This window comes from Homo sapiens, chromosome 6 (genome assembly GCF_000001405.40).
Source record: "Homo sapiens chromosome 6, GRCh38.p14 Primary Assembly".
NCBI lineage: Eukaryota > Metazoa > Chordata > Mammalia > Primates > Hominidae > Homo > Homo sapiens.
The window spans coordinates 90,074,694-90,091,765 of record NC_000006.12 but is presented as its reverse complement, the minus strand read 5'-3'; the positions used below and the strand labels follow the sequence as shown (position 1 = coordinate 90,091,765).

At 38.5% G+C, this 17,072-nt stretch overlaps 1 protein-coding gene across 2 annotated transcripts in view, besides 1 other annotated feature; it reads left to right on the top strand.

The window, feature by feature from the left end:
- BACH2 (BACH transcriptional regulator 2) overlaps nucleotides 1-17,072 on the top strand; it is a 370,316-nt gene that overhangs the window by 205,078 nt on the left and 148,166 nt on the right. For both annotated transcript variants that reach the window (NM_001170794.2, NM_021813.4), the window contains one exon: nucleotides 2,657-2,805. The gene's annotated coding sequence lies outside the window, so the exon portion shown is untranslated. The remainder of the gene's footprint in view (nucleotides 1-2,656; nucleotides 2,806-17,072) is intronic.
- Nucleotides 4,942-5,236: an enhancer, noted in NCBI's record as "tiled region #1684; HepG2 Activating non-DNase unmatched - State 13:Ctcf". NCBI's record gives its function as "activates a minimal TATA promoter and a strong SV40 promoter by Sharpr-MPRA in HepG2 cells {active_cell/tissue: HepG2}" and the evidence as "EXISTENCE:reporter gene assay evidence [ECO:0000049][PMID:27701403]".

The following is a 17,072-nucleotide window of genomic DNA, read 5'->3' as shown; positions in this document are numbered from 1 at the left end:
CAAAATAGGATTGAAATTTTTTGCACCCCCCACTCCTCAAACCATAACCATCTTATAGTATTAGTGGGTGCAGAAATTTGAGTTTATACATAAGTGAAAGAGTGAGGTTATTTCATTTAATATAACAAACAAACGTCACTTCAGTTTGCTTTTATTAGCATATGAAAATTGTGGCATTCTCTATACCAGTTATCCTGTAAGGTTAAATATACATAAAGGGGAAAGAGAAAGAGAGATTATTAGAAAAAGCTATAAATCTAAAAGAACCTGGGGCTGTAAGACCTGCTTTAGCATTCCTAATTCGTAGCCACATTTGGGAAGAATGTGTTTGTATGTTTCTTTTTTCAAGTGTGTATTTTATCTGTGTCTTCATGTCTTTCTCCATGTATAACCTGTTTTGTGTTATATAACACTCTTACCTCACACTTCTCTATTGTGCTCAAAGAGCTATAGCCTTCCCCGTGTCAATATAGGACTTTCAAAGGGTTTACTATTGTCTAGAATTTTCTTAGACTTTCTCTGCTTCGTTTAGATGCTATAGATGGTACTGACCAAAGAGTGGAAAGATCAAGCTTGTGATATATAGCTAGGCAATGAGTCAACATAGTAATGAGACACTAGGCTTGAATACATCTTTGGAATTCTGAAGCCCAAATTCCTACAAACTTATTGGGGAATAAGGAGGACCAATGAGTGGGCACATACTTTCAAACTTGCCAGCCACCAGTTTTGTTACCAATGCACTTGGCGTTAAATGAGATAATACATACAAGGACCTGGCATTGGAGTGGACACACTGTAATCATGCATAAGGGTTAGCCATTATTATTAGCTATTCTGATTTGATTTTGTCTTTGCATCTTTTTCTGCTTTTTGATGCCATCCTGAGGAAGAGCAAAATGTCCAAGAAATAGGAAAACCCCAGAAGGAAGGAAAATACAAGGCCTCACTACTCTAGAAGATGAATTATCAACCCACAAATAATCAGTGGTTTTTCTTCTCACGATATTATGGGAATTATTTCTGAATTCTCTCACATGCTTTTCCATGTGGAGACCCCATGGACAAGTCACAGCTCCCCCACTGTCCACATCTAACTCAGTCTGGCCTAATGAGGGTCATTTGATGGTAAACTAAAATTAACTCCATTTCTCTCTTGCTATGTCAAAAACAGCAAGCTGTTCACTATCTTCTGTGTAAGGAAAACAAAAATAAAATATCTTACATTTGATCATCATTGATTAGAATTTTGTTAAGTTGCGTGAGGAGCAAGTGTATTTTTCTCTGTCTGTGATAAGGTTCATAATTAACCAGGCATTCATGCTGCTGAAAAAAAATATAAATTGGTGCAATCTTTCTAGAAAATCAAGACTCTCAAAGTTTATGCCCTTTCATGCAATAATTCCTTTTCTGGGAACCTGCGTAAGAAAATGTTCAGAAATTCAAGACAATCTGATATTCAGAAATATCCCCTAAAGTGTTATTTACAATAACAAAGAAAAAAACAATCTGCAACTCCAAAAATGAGGGAAATAAATACATAAGATGTATTTCTATGGGGTATAATACACATGAACATTCAAAAGCATGTTTTGAATAATTTTTAATAACTTGGGGAAATACTCATATTCATATAACTCACATTTTATTTCAGAATTGAATGAAAAAGTAGAAGCAATACTTTGAGTATGTGCATGTATCTGAAAAGAATACTGGCCCACAATCCCTTATCTCTAATTCTAAATCTAAAAGTTTTCAGAAATCAAAAGGGGTTTTGTTTTGTTCTATTTTTAGTAACTTCTTTGGTAGGAAAACCTGGCCTGAACAAATGTGAGGCTCTATTTTACCCCCACTTAATAAGAATATGCATCTATTTTTGTGCACAAATATTTAATGTTTAATATTTAATATTATAGGGTGCTGCTCCATACTCTCACAAGATACTAATGTAATAAATGGTAGCTGCATCTCTAAAATCCAAAAATTCTGAATTCTGAAATATATCTGGCCCCAAGAGTTTCGGTGAAGGAGTTTCAGACCCATACAACAAAACATCATTAGTGATTTATCGGTGTCAAGGTTACCATTGATCTTTATTTTTTTCTTTATTTTTCTGTATGTTTCAAATGTTCTACAATAAGCATGTATTAAGTTATCTGAAAAAATAAATATTAATTTTAAAACGAAACACATTTGAGGCATCAGGGAATCATCTCATTTCGGTCAGAATTCTTAAATCATTTGCTTCCCAAATCTCTTCTATTTACAATGGCCACATGTGTCTTTTAAACCAAGGTGTTCTGATTTGCTGACAGAAAACGTGAGATGAAATATAGAAGGTGATAACTTACTGGACATGGACCTATCTCCTAGGCTGCATTTGGATTCAGGAGAGCCCCTCGTGAGGGCTGCTCACCTAAAGGAGATACCTCAAGGAATAGGGCTTCTAGTAGGCAGAGCCCAGGCGTTTCTACCACGGGCTATGGTGTCTTATTCTGTTCATGAGGATTGGTCAAGAGGCCGACAGCCAGAGACACAGACAGTTGTGTGAGATCATAACAAGCAGAACGGAGTATGGCGAGATAGCAGGAGAGAGGGGGAAACATTCACATGCATACTTTCATCTGCTAATGGACAACTTTTCCTTCCCAATTAGGTGGACACTCACTGACCTGTCACAAGGTTGCCCCACAAAACTTTGGGGTCCATGTCTGAATGGATTGCCAGAGCCTTCTCATCTCTCCCTTCGCCCAGTTCCCTGCATCCTAAGACTCGAAGGCAGCACAGGACCTGGAAAAATTACATGTAAGTTTTGACCAGGGTTTATTTTCCTTAATTAAACAATGATAAATATTTTCTTAGGTGATAGTAACAAATAGCCCAAGCACACATGAATTACTTTTTTTTTTTAACAAAGGAGCTGGAGAGTTATCATTGAGCAAAGGTTGGAATCTGTATATTGGTGGTTCCTTAACTCAGTGGCTCTTAAATTTCAGCTTGAATCAGAATCACCTGGAGGGCTTGTTGAAGTACAGCTTGCTGGGCCTCAAGCTCAGATTTCTGATTCAGTAGATTTGGTACAGGCTAGGAATTTGCTTTTCTAAGAAGTTTCCAAGTGAGGCTGATGCAGCTGGTCCAGGGACCCCAATTTGAGAATCACTGCTTTAACTCATGTGCTTGAAATAATGAAAAAGGTAGAAAACTGTATATACTTGAGTAATAAATAGCATTAAATTAAGAAATTTAATGCTTTGCTTAATACACTGACTTATGTCTCAGAAAAGAGTTTTAAGGTTCACTTAGCACCTTCACATTTGGAAGTCCAGCCCAGTTGATGCCATTATTCTGTGCCAGCTTTACCCCAGAGCTGCTAGTACCAGCCATTCTTTGCCCCTGGTTTTCAACAAGTGTGACTAATAGTGCTGTTATTAGGCTAAAACAACAGCTACAGTCCTTTTGCAGGTGTGCTCATCATGCTTTTAGACACACTCAAAAGAGAAAATCTTTTTTCCCCTGAGTTGGGAAATACATTGTTCCCTTTCAGAGTGAGTCATCATAGCATTATCCCTCCCCTCACACACTTAAATGTGATTTGATTTACAAAACACATGTGGGACAGAAAGGCAAACATCACATGTTCTCACTTACTCATGGGATCTAAAAGTCAAAACACTTGAACTCCTGGACATAGAGAGTAGGAGGGATAGCTACCATAGGCCAGGAAGGGTAGTGGGGGTTGGGGGCAGGGCATGGAGGTGGGATAGTTAATAGGTACAAAAAAAAAAAAATAGAAAGAATGAATATGGCCCACTATTTGATAGTACAGTAGAGTGACTATAGTCAATAATAACTTACATTTTATAGTAAAATGTGTAATTGGATTGTTTGTAACTCAAAGGATAAATGCTTGAGGGGGTGGATACCCCATTCTCCATGACGTGCTCATTTCATATTGCATGCCTGTATCAAAACATCTCATGTACTCCACAAATATACACACCTACTGTATACCCACAAAAGTTAAAAATAAAAAAAAAACACACACATGGGAAGGGAAGCACACCTCCAATGAGTAACTCAAGCCAGCAAGTCCAGGTTTTGTGAGATTCTAAGTTCTCAAGACTGAAAAACTTTGTGAATCATCATGTTGTGGTGTTAGCTTTCGAACAGGCCCGTTGCCTAACTGCTGAGGACAAGAACAATTTATTCCACGTTAATAGAAAAAAGTAGAAGAGTTTGACTAAACAAATGTACATTTGGACACATGTAAGCATACATACAAATGTACATGTGTACCTGTGAATAGATATATGCATTGTATATTTCTGAGCTTTGACTGTAGGAATTTGAAACAGCATTTTTTCTTTTGTTTCATTGAGTCGATGTGAGTGTAAAAATAGTATGAGTGATACTGTCCAGGAAACATTTGAGAAATTTCTGGGCATTTTAAATCTGTGGATAAGCACTGTGATTTATAACATTTTACTTGGATATGGTAGATGTTATCATTCAGAGTAGCACTTAGGATTTACAGTTCTCTTATTATAACTCTCTGGAGTTGAGAATAATCACTGTTAATAAAGCAATTGCCAAGCAAAGAAAGAACATATGTATTGCCTCAACATTAATAGAGTCAAAAATCCTGGAGATAGACTTAAATGTACAGTAGGTATATGTTAAAATGTTTAAAATAAAACCCCCAATATCAGAAAAATAAGACAAAAACCAGTAAGTGTTAAAAGTGATCTATAATGGAATTAACCCAGAGGTGCCTTCTGGGGGCTGCCCAAAGGGTAACAGGGCTGGGATTAGGGCTGATAGAGTTGTGAGTGATGTAATTATTATTACTCCACCCTCAAAAATATACCATCTCCAACAAGCACTAGTTTATTCTGCACTGCATTCCTGGAAGGAAGGTTATCAGTTTATGAGACATCTTCACCATAAAGTGAAAGAAGGAGGTTGGATCAAATGCCCCTTAGCGCCCTCTCCTGCTCTGCCACTCCGCAGATCTCCACGTTTACACATCCAGTGTTCCTGTGGGATGACCTTTGCTGTCAGTCAGTTTCCTGTCTACAGGTCAGGAAGGAAAGAAGTTGTCATGACTCCTTAGGTGAATCATGGCTTCAGGCTCCTGCTGGATCTGGCAGGACCTGCCTGGATCACTCCCCATGTCTTTGGACGAGCGTTCAGTCACCGAGTGAGTAGGGTGCCTATAAAACTGAATCTTGTGGGGCAGAGGGCGACAGGGGGCATGTGGGAAACTTCTGTACTTTCTGGTCAGTTTTACTGTGAACCTAAAACTGCTCTTTATGATAAAGTGCATATATTTAAAAAATTAAATACTAAACAGTACGACAGTTCCTCAAAAAAAATTAAACAGGATTACCAAGTGATCCAGCAATTCCACTTCTGGGTATATACCAAAAAAAGTGAAAGTAGGGAATTGAGCAGATAGATGTGTGTACAACCATGTTCATAGCAGCATTATTCACAGTAGCCAGAGGTGGATGCAACCCAGGTGTCCATCTACAGGTGAATGGATAAACAAAATGTGGTGTATATTAATACATACAATGGAATATTATTCAGCCTTTAAAAAGATGAAATTCTGACACATGCTAACGACATGGAGGAACCCTGAAGATGCTAAGTGAAATAATCCAGACACAAAAAGGCAAATATTAAATATCTCATTTATATGAGATACCTAGAACTGTCAGATTTACAGAGTCAGAAAGTAGAATGGTGGTTGCCAGGGGATGGGAGGATGGAAAAATTGAAAGTTGTTGTTCAATGGATATTAAGTATCAGTTTGGGAAGATTGGAGAGTTCCGGAGATGAATGATGATGACAGTTGCACAACAATGTGAATGTATTTAATGCCACCGAAATGCACACTTAAAATGGGTAAAATGGTAAATTTTATGTTGTATATATTTTACATAATTTTTTAAAGCTTTCCTCCTAAGAGTGCTGTGCAGAATCACTAGCTAGTGCTTGATAGGGATGCTGCAGTTTGTGAGGGTGCAGGAAGAACAGATCATTATGTCTCTCACACCTCCCTCATTCCTGTTACCCTTTGGGCAGCCTTTAGAAGCCAACAAAGGTAAGGGATCCACTGAATGGTATATACTTCAGTCCCAGGAATGAGTTTCCTATCAGAGTAAAGACACAGTTGTCAGAAGCCATCAAGGGAATTTGCCTTAAACAACTGTGGTCTCTACTAAAATGCCATTTACACATCTAGAAGACCTGCTTCACTGGGGCGAAGGAAAGCGTGAGCCACCCATGCTCCAGCAGTGGGGCTGCTCCAGTTCCTCCAGATGGGTGTTTGTAAACCAGTCCATGCACAGAGCACAGAGAGAGTCCCAGAGCTGTGTGCCTCACTGTGGCTTCTGAAAGGTCTTAATCAGCGGAGGTGGACATGGAGGCAGGAACCAGGGAATGCAGACTTCCCGTAGATTCCAGCGCAGTAGAAAATGAAAGCTGTGAGAGGAAATCCACAGCAGATAGTTCTCCCGCTGTAGGGCCTATGATTATTATGATGCCTGTTTTACATTCTCCAAGTGAAGCAAGATTTATCCCCCATCACCAAATCTCTGTACTTATGGGTATTATTGTACCCGTAAGTCACAGACAGGTTAGTGAGTGGCCGGTAGTCCTGTGAGGAACACACAGGATGGAACTCACTAGGTTAGTCCATTGTACCCTACTTTTTTTGGCTTTTGTGTTTTATTCTACATTTCTAGAAATTTGGCTTTGAAGAACAATCAACAGTTTTATGGGGCCCAGTAGCCATACTTTATTCAGGTCGTCTTCACTACCTTTACCCTCTACCCCTAGGGCTGACCAGGGGTTAGAATTCCTGAAGAGTCATCTATAAGGATCCATGGTTTCAAAAAGTTCACAAACTGCTATCCTAAATTATCCTACTATCTCCTTAAGATACCAGTATATATATAGTCTGTTACAGAGGCCCTATAGCAGAACCATTATATATAATTTTGCTTAAGGAAAAGGTGTAACTGAAAAGAGGTAAAATGAATTTGTTAAAGTACAATATATATAAATTAGTCCACTCATTCTCACGCCAGACTTTCCAAACCTGCTTAGAAAGAAACTCTTCATGATTTTCACTTAGGTATTGGAAAACAGGGCAAAGGAAAAGAGGTTTCTGAGTCAGTTGCTATGGGGAGCCGCTGAGATACCAAAAAAAAAAAAAAACTGGAATTAAAGATTTTTGTAGAGGAGAAAATTCAGGTCAGCAAGTCTAAGGGAGAGGAAAGTAAGGGCTTATTCATCTTTGACATCCACCCTAAGCTTGAGTTGAAAGGGCATGGATATGGAATCTAATCAAAATAAATTCCCCCCCCATGAGTTCATAGACCAGAATTTTTAGATAGACACACTGACACATTTTCCACAGAGAAGAGCATCAAACCAGCAGTCACCGAGACAAAATGACATAAAGTAGAGAAGACCAACAAAGACAGACCCTAGTGGGATCTCCTTGTGTCCTTGTCTCATCATTCGCAGGAATCAGATGTGCCTGGTTCCAGACATTGAATTTGTGTTTACTGACGGTTTTGCTACCTGGAACCCAACTAGCCAGAACCCTGAATTAGCTAACCTTCATACTTCCCCACCCCCTCCCCTTCCCTCCCACACACCCCACCCTACCGCACACACCACACTTCCCTTTTTCAGCGATGAAGAAAACAAGATAGCTTTGGTTTTGAGTAAAGGTGGGGTGTAAACCCTGGAGGATACTTGTAGCTGATGACATTGACCTGCTGAATCATTGAGAATGGTTAGATGTTTTATAAAGAGGAAAAGAAACTGCTTTGGAAAAACTTCAACAAAAAGCATTTTGTAGTTGTCAATTAACCAGAAAATCAAAATAATAAAAAATATTCTTGTCCTCAAATAGTCTAATTAACTGAGGTTTTAGTATACCTATTTCCATGCTTTAATAATAATCTAAAAATTTTGACTGAGGACAGAACAATATACCATTCATTTTTATCCTTCTCGAGAAACTGCAAGTTTTGGCTTTTACCACCTTTCCAGTGCCAGAGGTTAAATGTTGAATGTTCTGTTTATGTTAAGCACTCTAAAAGTTGTGATATTACTGGTTTTAAAACTAATATATGAAATCATTTTATGAACCTATGTATTTAGCTCCTATAGTCATTGGGAACCAACGGCATACTTTTGAAGCCAATTCTGTTTCTTTTTAAAAAATAAAAAGAACCTATGATATGATTATTTGTAATATTCCATTTCAGATTCAGATTATGTTCTGCTCAAGAGATCATCAAAATTAATTTTCATTCTCTGCTAATGGTACAGAGAGGAGTGATGTTACCAGCATGGTTGTAAACATTAATATATAAATCAAAAATTTCAAAAGATAATTCTCTGAGTCGTGAGTCTCCAAATAATCTATGTTTTATTATAAAGCTGCCTGCCCAGTGACATCAGTTGTAGTACAAATTGTTTATCAATTTATTCTAATAGTTTCCAATCTGTTGATTTTTAAGAAATGGTTTGTGTGCTCTTTTTTGGATGCACCTGTCACTAGTGAAATGATGCCTCTCTGTGAGCCCAGATTTAACCCAGGGCATTGCAGCATGTTTTTCCAAGGATGTCCCATTAGCTAGATCTTGTAAGAGTGTGTGCCTGCAGCCTTGTGGCAGCTGGAAGTTGCACAGACTGTGCGTCATGAGGAGGAAAAGCACTTCTGCTCTTCTGCCCCAGAACAGTATTTACAAAGCTTTGCAGGATAGCAAGATTTTTAGAGTCCTTGCGGTGCTTAATTAGAAGCTATAATCTGTTATTTCTAGCATGTTTTTCCTGTATTCTGTGCCTTACTTGTCATCAGTTCAGTTCAGATTAGTATGCTGGGTCCTTGATTTCTTGACAGAAAGTGTCAGAAACTTATTGATGAAGTGTTCTTGATTTCTAGACAGAACCACAATCAGAAAATAATTGTTTCCTTTTATCTGAACAGAAGTAGCTTTGTTTTCCTTATTATCAAAGTGATACATGTATTCTACATAATTTATAAAATAGCAGAAAATTGAATAAAGGTAGAGATAAATTACCTATAATCTGGCTGCCCAAATATAACCTACCTGTTAACTCATACTTTTATGTATTTTTCCAGACTTTTTTCAAGAAACTAATTAACTAATTCCAAATTTACAAGCAGTGCTCTAGACTGATTACATCCTACAAGCTGGTGGCACTTAGGAATGATGCCTTTAAGTGTCATCTTATAGGACAGTGATCTCCTTGTTACTTTTTTTTTCTTCCTTCTAATTATATTAATCAGCTCTTATAAGAACAGATAGCTGTGTGGACTCACTAGTATCTTTATCAGGTGGAAATTCCTGTCAACCAGTATTTTCATTTCTACCTTCTGTCAGTCAAAATGATAGTGAGTGGCCCTGTAAGATCCTAGTGGGCCTCTGGAATCATAAAGGAAGATTCAGTTATGTACAAGATGGCTTTGGTGTTAGGTCAACTGATTGTGTTCTGATTATTTAGAAATTAGTAATCACTGTACTATAAGGCAATTTGGCAGAAATGGGAAAGGTTGAGTTAGCCAGATCTTCCCATTCCGCATTCACAATCCAAACAATATGAACTCCAATCAAATTCTGATTTTATAATTTTGGTAACAAAATTTCATTCAAATATATGCCTTCTTGTGCTGTGAACAGAGTTTTCCTTTAACTTTGCATCCTTTATCCCCCTTTAAAGATGCATCTCTTCCGATTGCTGTGGTGTGATTTTATAGCTCCTTGAGTTGTGCTGGTATCTCTGTGCTTCCCTTTGGAGAGTACTAGGCCTTCAGGTTAGGATGAATCCTAACACTTGGCCAAGGTTAGGAAGGGCTTTGAGCACTGAAAGAAAACCAAGGTAAAATTTAAGGAATTGTTAGAAGATTCATCTGAGAAATGTAGAATTGTAATCCACAAACTTTATGTCCGTAGAATAGGAAGTATTTAGTAAGCAGCTAGCTGCTAGAAGGGATTTTGTTTGTTTAAAAAAAAAAGAAAAAGTCTGTCTTTGACATTGGTTATATCTAGGTTTTATCATCCCGTGTAAAGGATTCTTAAGTTCCTTGAAAGCAGTGACTTTGAGAGCATCCCTTCATGTCCTCTGTGTCCTTGTATGTAATAGGAACTCAGTGTATATTGGATTAATATTTCTGTGGCTCTTCAGTGACAGATGAATGAATGTGCTCAATTCAGGTAACTACATTTGACCTTTTTCCTACAGCAATTGAAGGGTGTTTGGGTAGCATCTGCGATTGTGTTGAATGCCCTGGTTGGTTACGGGTGTGGGGAAGTGGTATACAGTACTTTGATCCTCCTTTGGAGAAGGAGATGCTAATGTGGATAATGAGAATTTGGTTCTTTATCTTTAGTTTCGATTTGGCCGCCTTCCTTCACTGAGTCACAGTGCTCACTTGTTTAGTGATGGGCATGTCATTTAAGCCTGAGACTGTCCCTCAGACTGTTTATGACATTGGATCTGAATTTCCCATTAGATGAACAGCCAGCATTTGTCATATAAATTCAAGAACACACTAAAAGTTTGTTGGCTTTGTAGTTGACATTGAGATTAACTTTCTCTAACCTAAACCAGTGAAAACTAAAATGCTCCTCACCACATAAAAGTTTTGCTTTCGCTGCGTTCAGACCCCTCCTACCTTGTCACAGCACAGTCATTTGGAGTCTGATTTGGGGGCGGTGTGGTTGTCTCAGTGGCGTATGACCCACTTTGTGTAATACTTAATTGCCTGTGTTTTTACAACACAAGTCAGAAGTTCTGGCGATAGTGGACTATCACCCAAAAAAGATTTTCTGAGACATCTCATCAGAGCTGCTCGAGTACCGCGCATGAAGACGGTGTTAGCTCTGCAGGGCATGTGCTAACTACCAGACGATGAAAGAACATTTCCTCTAGTTTCTGGATAATGAGCAGGCACACAGGTAAAGATGCCTTTCTCAGGGTTGACGCCTTTTGTTTCCTAATGATTCTGATGATTTTGTTGAACTAGACTTTTAAATATTAATTGTTACCTGCATATGTTTGCTGTTGTGGTTTGCAGAGGGCTCAGAGGAACAAGCATTTTAATTGGTATCCTGGGACTGTAATAACTTTTTATTAAAAGTCTGGAAAGATAGTAATCAAAAATAGACTCTCATCTCTATCTTCTCTGTGCCCCTGGCAAATATCCTCTTCATCAATTTTGTTTTTATTATTTGCCGTCAAGATGGTTATCTCTAAATATCAGATGCTTCAATCCACAGTGATAACCATGTGTGAATTAATGCTTGATAAGCTTCAGGTTATCAGGTGGAGAAGTGTGGTTAAGGCATACAGAAAGAAAAAATGCACAGAAGGAAAGGGATAGCAAGGGGATACTGTGCCTTGGTAAGCGTGGTGCCACCGCAGACTAAAAGCAGATATAAGTCAAGTGCTACTGACTTAAGTTTGGCAAAATCACTCCTCACAGCCCGCTCTGTTTTAGAAATGTTTATATTTCTGATATCACTTTTGTTAATTTGAAGAACTTTTAAAATACCATCATTGTTTCAAAACAAAATGTGGAAGGTGTGGATCACCTTCCTGAATTTACAGAAAAGTTTTTGGGTACATTTCTTTGCGGAAGATTGGCTGAGATGTGGTTCACGGCAGGGTGGTGCCCGTGCCTTGCGGATCACGTTGTCTGTACACTGACTGACATACCAACTTAGAGTCTTTGAAAATGCCCATTGGTAAGTCAACATTGTTTTCCCTGAAAGTCCTGAGACAGAAAAAAAAAAAAAATGAAAGTACAAACACTAACTGGAAAAAATGTCACACATTTTAGCCACTTTGCATCCCTTGTTAGGACAAACCCTGGTCTGGGTTTTTTTACATTTTGAAGTTGTGTGGTAGGTGGGGCAGTGTGGGTGGCCCAGAAAAAGTAGCGGTTAGAATAAGATTTTCCATTTATTGCCCTTTGTGCATGGCTAAAAATAAGAGTCATACAAATCAGAATATGTAGTGCAAGCAAAATCACTCTGTTAATTCTGATGACTGGTTTGCCCACATCTTTGCATCTGTCTGGTAAGTGGTATATTGGGAAATAATTTGTCTCTGTTTAAATAGCAAAAGGCAACCAAGTTTTTGCGTTGTGTGTCTACACATGATAGTTTATCAGCACTTTTCTCTTCCGAAGGAAGAAAGATCCAACTCATACATAAACAAATTGTGTTGATGGAAGGAAGAAAGAAGCGTGAAACCCTTGAATCTTTTTTAAAAAGGAATTGCCTTATTTGAAATGCAGTTTTACAACATCCATCTTCTTGGCTTATTGTTAGAAAGTTATTTCTTGTAAACTCATAGCACAGCAAGGAAAGGATATCTTAATGGTGTTGCCCTAGAGATTGGAAAACTTTTTGTGTGTTTGGTTGGAGGAGGGAGAAGGGACAAGGATGAGCACACGCCTGCCCTGTAGTATCTTCTGTAGACACAGATGTTGGAGGGACAGTTAACCAAGTAAAAACTCCCCTGCATCTGGCTGCTGAGTCGAATGCAACCACAGTAAGTGATAACGTGTCCGTTTGTGGCTAGAAGAAACACCAAAGAGAGGCGGCGCCAGCATTCACAGGGAAATTTGTGCCTTCGCAATCCCATTGATGGTGCTGTCCCATTCCACTGACTGAGTGGTTGTGGCATTTCCAAAGAATGAGAATGTCTGCAAGTGTTCTGAGCCTTTCAGTCTGATGAGCTTTGTAAAATGGATGAGTCAAGAGGGCAGTTCCAGAAGATTCTGAAAAATGAAGACTGCAAATCACATTTTTCTTTGGCATCCCCAACTGTGGCAGACAGTGTGGCACAGTGGTTACAATGAGTTGAGAGCTTTAGGAGGAAAAAAAGACTCCGGATCAAATCTTAGCTTAGCTACTTGTTGACCTTGATCTGTTAACCTCTCCTAGGCCTGGGTGTCTTTATTTGAAAATGGGAACAGAAGTAGTACTGCCTGCCTGAATGAGAGGGTGGTTGTGGGGATTCAGTGAGATGACGTACATAAAGCACAAAGCCAGCACTCCACAAAATGATGTTGGTGTTATCGTCATTTGTGCAGTTGCATCATAAAATGTGTTGGAGAATTTGAGAGCATTTGGGAGTTCTCCTCTATTCTTGGAGTACAAATTTTGGAATTAAATGGACAAAAGATCAGCCTCTGGTTCAGTGTTTCAGAAGAATACAGGCATTTATAGAGTGGTTTGCTTCTTCTTAGGTTACTAATGCCAACTGGGGGATTGTTGTTTTTTTTATTTTGCTGTTAAGTTAGCACAATGTAAGCCTCTCTTTCCTTTTAAGATTAGTGCTGTGTTGAGCATATTCAGTAATTTTTACCTTCTCCCTGTTTTTTATTTAAACATGGATGTTCAGTTCTAACATCTGTGCATGTTAATTGTAGTACCTGCTGGTGTACGTTATGAAAGAGAGTGCTAATGTTGTAATCAAGTAAGGCTAAAAAAATATTTCAGGTGGAAATGGGCAAAACTTCAGGAGCAATAGCTTCCATGGTGGTGTAATTCCCCACAGAAAATATTGCATCTGTTATAATTCTGGTTACTGAACAATCTGACAGATTGACCAGATGCTGACAGGTAGAAAACAATTGCTGTTGCTTTTATTTTTATTTTTTATGCTTTGCAAGTTATTTTCTGTTTAATACAATGTATACCTGTCCTTCTAGAGTCCTTTTCCACCCACCAAAGTTTTGCATTATAAAGTGTATTGTGTATTTCACAGTACAAAGTCATAATTGTGGACATAACTTTTTTGTTAGCCTTCAGGATTAGATGCTGAGACTTCAAATCAGTCTCCCTTTAACCTCCTCCAGGACTTTCCTAGAATGCTGTTTCTTCATTTATCAAAGTTAAAGAGAAGTTATGACTGTATCTTAACTTTGCCTCACCTGAGACCTGACAAGAAGTGATGAATTAAACCTATAAGCTAAGGAATTAAAATACAGGACAGATATAAAACAGTGGTGGCTTAGTTTTCTTAATTGTTGTATTTTGCTGGGTTGTTTTTCAATCCTCTTCAAATTTTCCTTTTCTTAGTCTGTCCTACCATCCCTGTCCCAGATACAACTTGTGACTTATAATTTATATATTAGTATTCTCATCAGATTTTTGGTTTTTGTGTTAGGAACCATCAGTCTGGAATAAAGACATTTCTCAGGTCAACTCTGCCAGGGAAATCTGTCTTGTATTAAAATGATACCCGCTTCTCCAGTGTCTCCAGACAATGCTGCTTTCTCCACTTTTCTCTGTTAACGAAATGGAAGAATGCTTTTCAGGCCGAGCAAATCATTCTAGGTGACTTTCAAAGTTCCTGGCATTGCAGATACAGCTTCTGTTCCCTGTACACACTCATATATTCCCCATTATCTTCGCCGTCCCTCTTGCCCTTTGCCATAGACCGAAGTTTCTGTAAAAATAATAGGTGAGAGAAGGTGATAAATTAGACTCTGGCTGTGATTCCCTCCCACGCTTTCATAAGGAATGACAGATTCTGAAATGCATCCTGTGGATACACTGTGTGCTCCTTCCTGCAAAACTGCCAGTTTTAACTTATCCTTCATGTGCAGTTTGAGGGTACTGGCCAGGCGGGGCTCATTATTCCTTTGGTTGAATAGTGTAAAGTATTTGCAATGGAGATTTTCTCTAATGATGTATTTTAAGTGCATGTCCGCATTGCTGGTTTAATGCACTCAGTCACAGAATGCTTTAAAGTTTATTGCTAATGGATGAATCCTCCGGAAAACGGGAATTTTCAACAAGATTGACATTTGGAGTGTGAAATATAAATCTAATGAGAGTATTTTAACCCAGGTTTGTAATTAGGGCTGAGTGGAGTGAATGTGTACGTGCACACCAGAGAAGGGCACGGAGGAAGGTGAAATTGCATGCTCTCCTCTGAATGAGGGATGAAGGCGGATGGATCAGTGTCAGGCCACGACACGGTGGAGTATAAATGATACTGTCACCAAGTACTGCACAGGGTACCGAGGGAATTCCACTCTAGTAAATTACATTACTTAGACAGACCTGAAGGCATTGTGTCGGAACAAGCAAAGGGAAAGGGGGCTGTTGGCACCATGCAGAAGATATTACAGTACAACTAGCTTCAGGGATGGAATTCACTAGTTTCCATTATACCTGCCTATTTTGTATTCTCCTTCGCTAATTAGTTTACAGAAAGTTACAAATGTGTACATGTGAAAGAACATCATGTGTGCTTGGAGTATGGGTTACCATGGACCATAAGGGAATAAGTATTAGTCAATTTGTATGAATTGGTCAGAGTGAGATTCTTTTTCTTTTATTCACAGCTGGGTGATATTAGGTGTTCAGTAAAAGCTTGCCCTTGTTTTATTTTCTTTTTGTGAGAATCTGACATGCATTATGAAGATTTAATCCTCATTCGCTCGGTAACATAATGCATTTCTTTTCCACCCTTCCTTTACGTGTCTTTAAATCTCACCTATCACTGGTCTCCCCTCATCACCTTCCATCCCTAAGGGAAACAGATTGTATTGTCACATAACATTTCATTTTGTGAAAGAACTCAAAGTTAACAAAGGTGATTCCTAGAGTGGGACTTGTAGAGAAAAATCATTTTTTTCGCTTCTTCTATTTTCTTTTATCCCTCTGCAGCAAAGTGAGGCCAGCCTTTTTGGGTTTATCTGTCTCTTACCATCTCTGGATCGTCTCTTACCATCATCTAGATCATTGCAGATGTGCCAGTCACCATTTTCCAGTTTGACTTCAAATGCTCATTCTTGAAAAAGCCAATACCAGGTGCTCTGGAATTAGTCACAGTCATTTTTTAACTAAAAAGCAAGTGTCTTCTCCTGAATGGATAGAGATCCTGAAACAATATCCATCCTTTCTTAAGTATATGTCATATTTTGTCCTTGGTGAAAGAAACCTGAGAAGTATCTCTGATCAGTTAACAGAGAGAATACATAAGATTCTGAAAAATGTCTCCATAAGGCTTCCAAATGGCAGGTTTTCTGAAACAGGGTCACAAGTAGATTGCAGTTACGATAATAATATCTTGGATTTGACTTTTTTTCTTTCCAAAATAATACTCTGTTGGGGTCAGGGTATCGTAATTTATTTTGTAGCCATAGTTAACAGTCTTATTTTATTCATCCAATCATAAAATAGTAAAGCCAACACACTTGGAAAGCCAGGTTTGAGTGTGGACAGGAGAAGCCTTGGTTAAAAAGAAGATACATCTATTTTATGCCGGGTACCTCCACCTTAAAAACGCTTTTAGTTTATGATTCTAAAATAATATCTAAGTGTAAAAGGCATCATGTAAAATGTTTTTGTGCCATATATCATCCTCAGCATAGAAAGGCTGTGCTTACAGACTTTGCTTTATTCACTGAAGTCCTACAAAAGTCAGGGACTCTGAGTTGTGTGAGAAATGAGGGTCTCTCCCTACATAAACTCACTAAAATCTTTCCTTTTTGTATTCTGTTTACTTTAATGGTAGTATGTGCCTTATATCTTATATGTTCTTTTCGTCCATGACATGCACTGGGAAATAACATTTTGTTGTTTGCCACAACATTACACCTGTGACTTCTTTCTTTCTCCTGTCCTCTTGATGCAGCATGCTGTCAAACTGTATCTTTTGAGTTGTTCTAAATTGAATCCTGGTCAAAGGGATTTAACAACATCTAAAACGGAACTAGCTTAGATTCTCTTCCATTCTGTAGAGGTTCCTTTGTTCCTGCTTACCTACCCATGTCTGTCTGTATTCTATTCTTTTTCTTAGATTAAAATTGGAAAGGGAGAAAGGGGGAGCTCCTTAGGAGAAATAGGTCTGTGGAGAATTGTGAGTACTCATTCAGAAGCTATTCTTAGTTCTAAGGAATATAATGAACTTGAGCTTTGAGTCCTACTGAATCTCCCATTAATGATCCCGCCATCGCTTCCACCTCCCATCTGATTATGTTCTCCCCAAAGGCT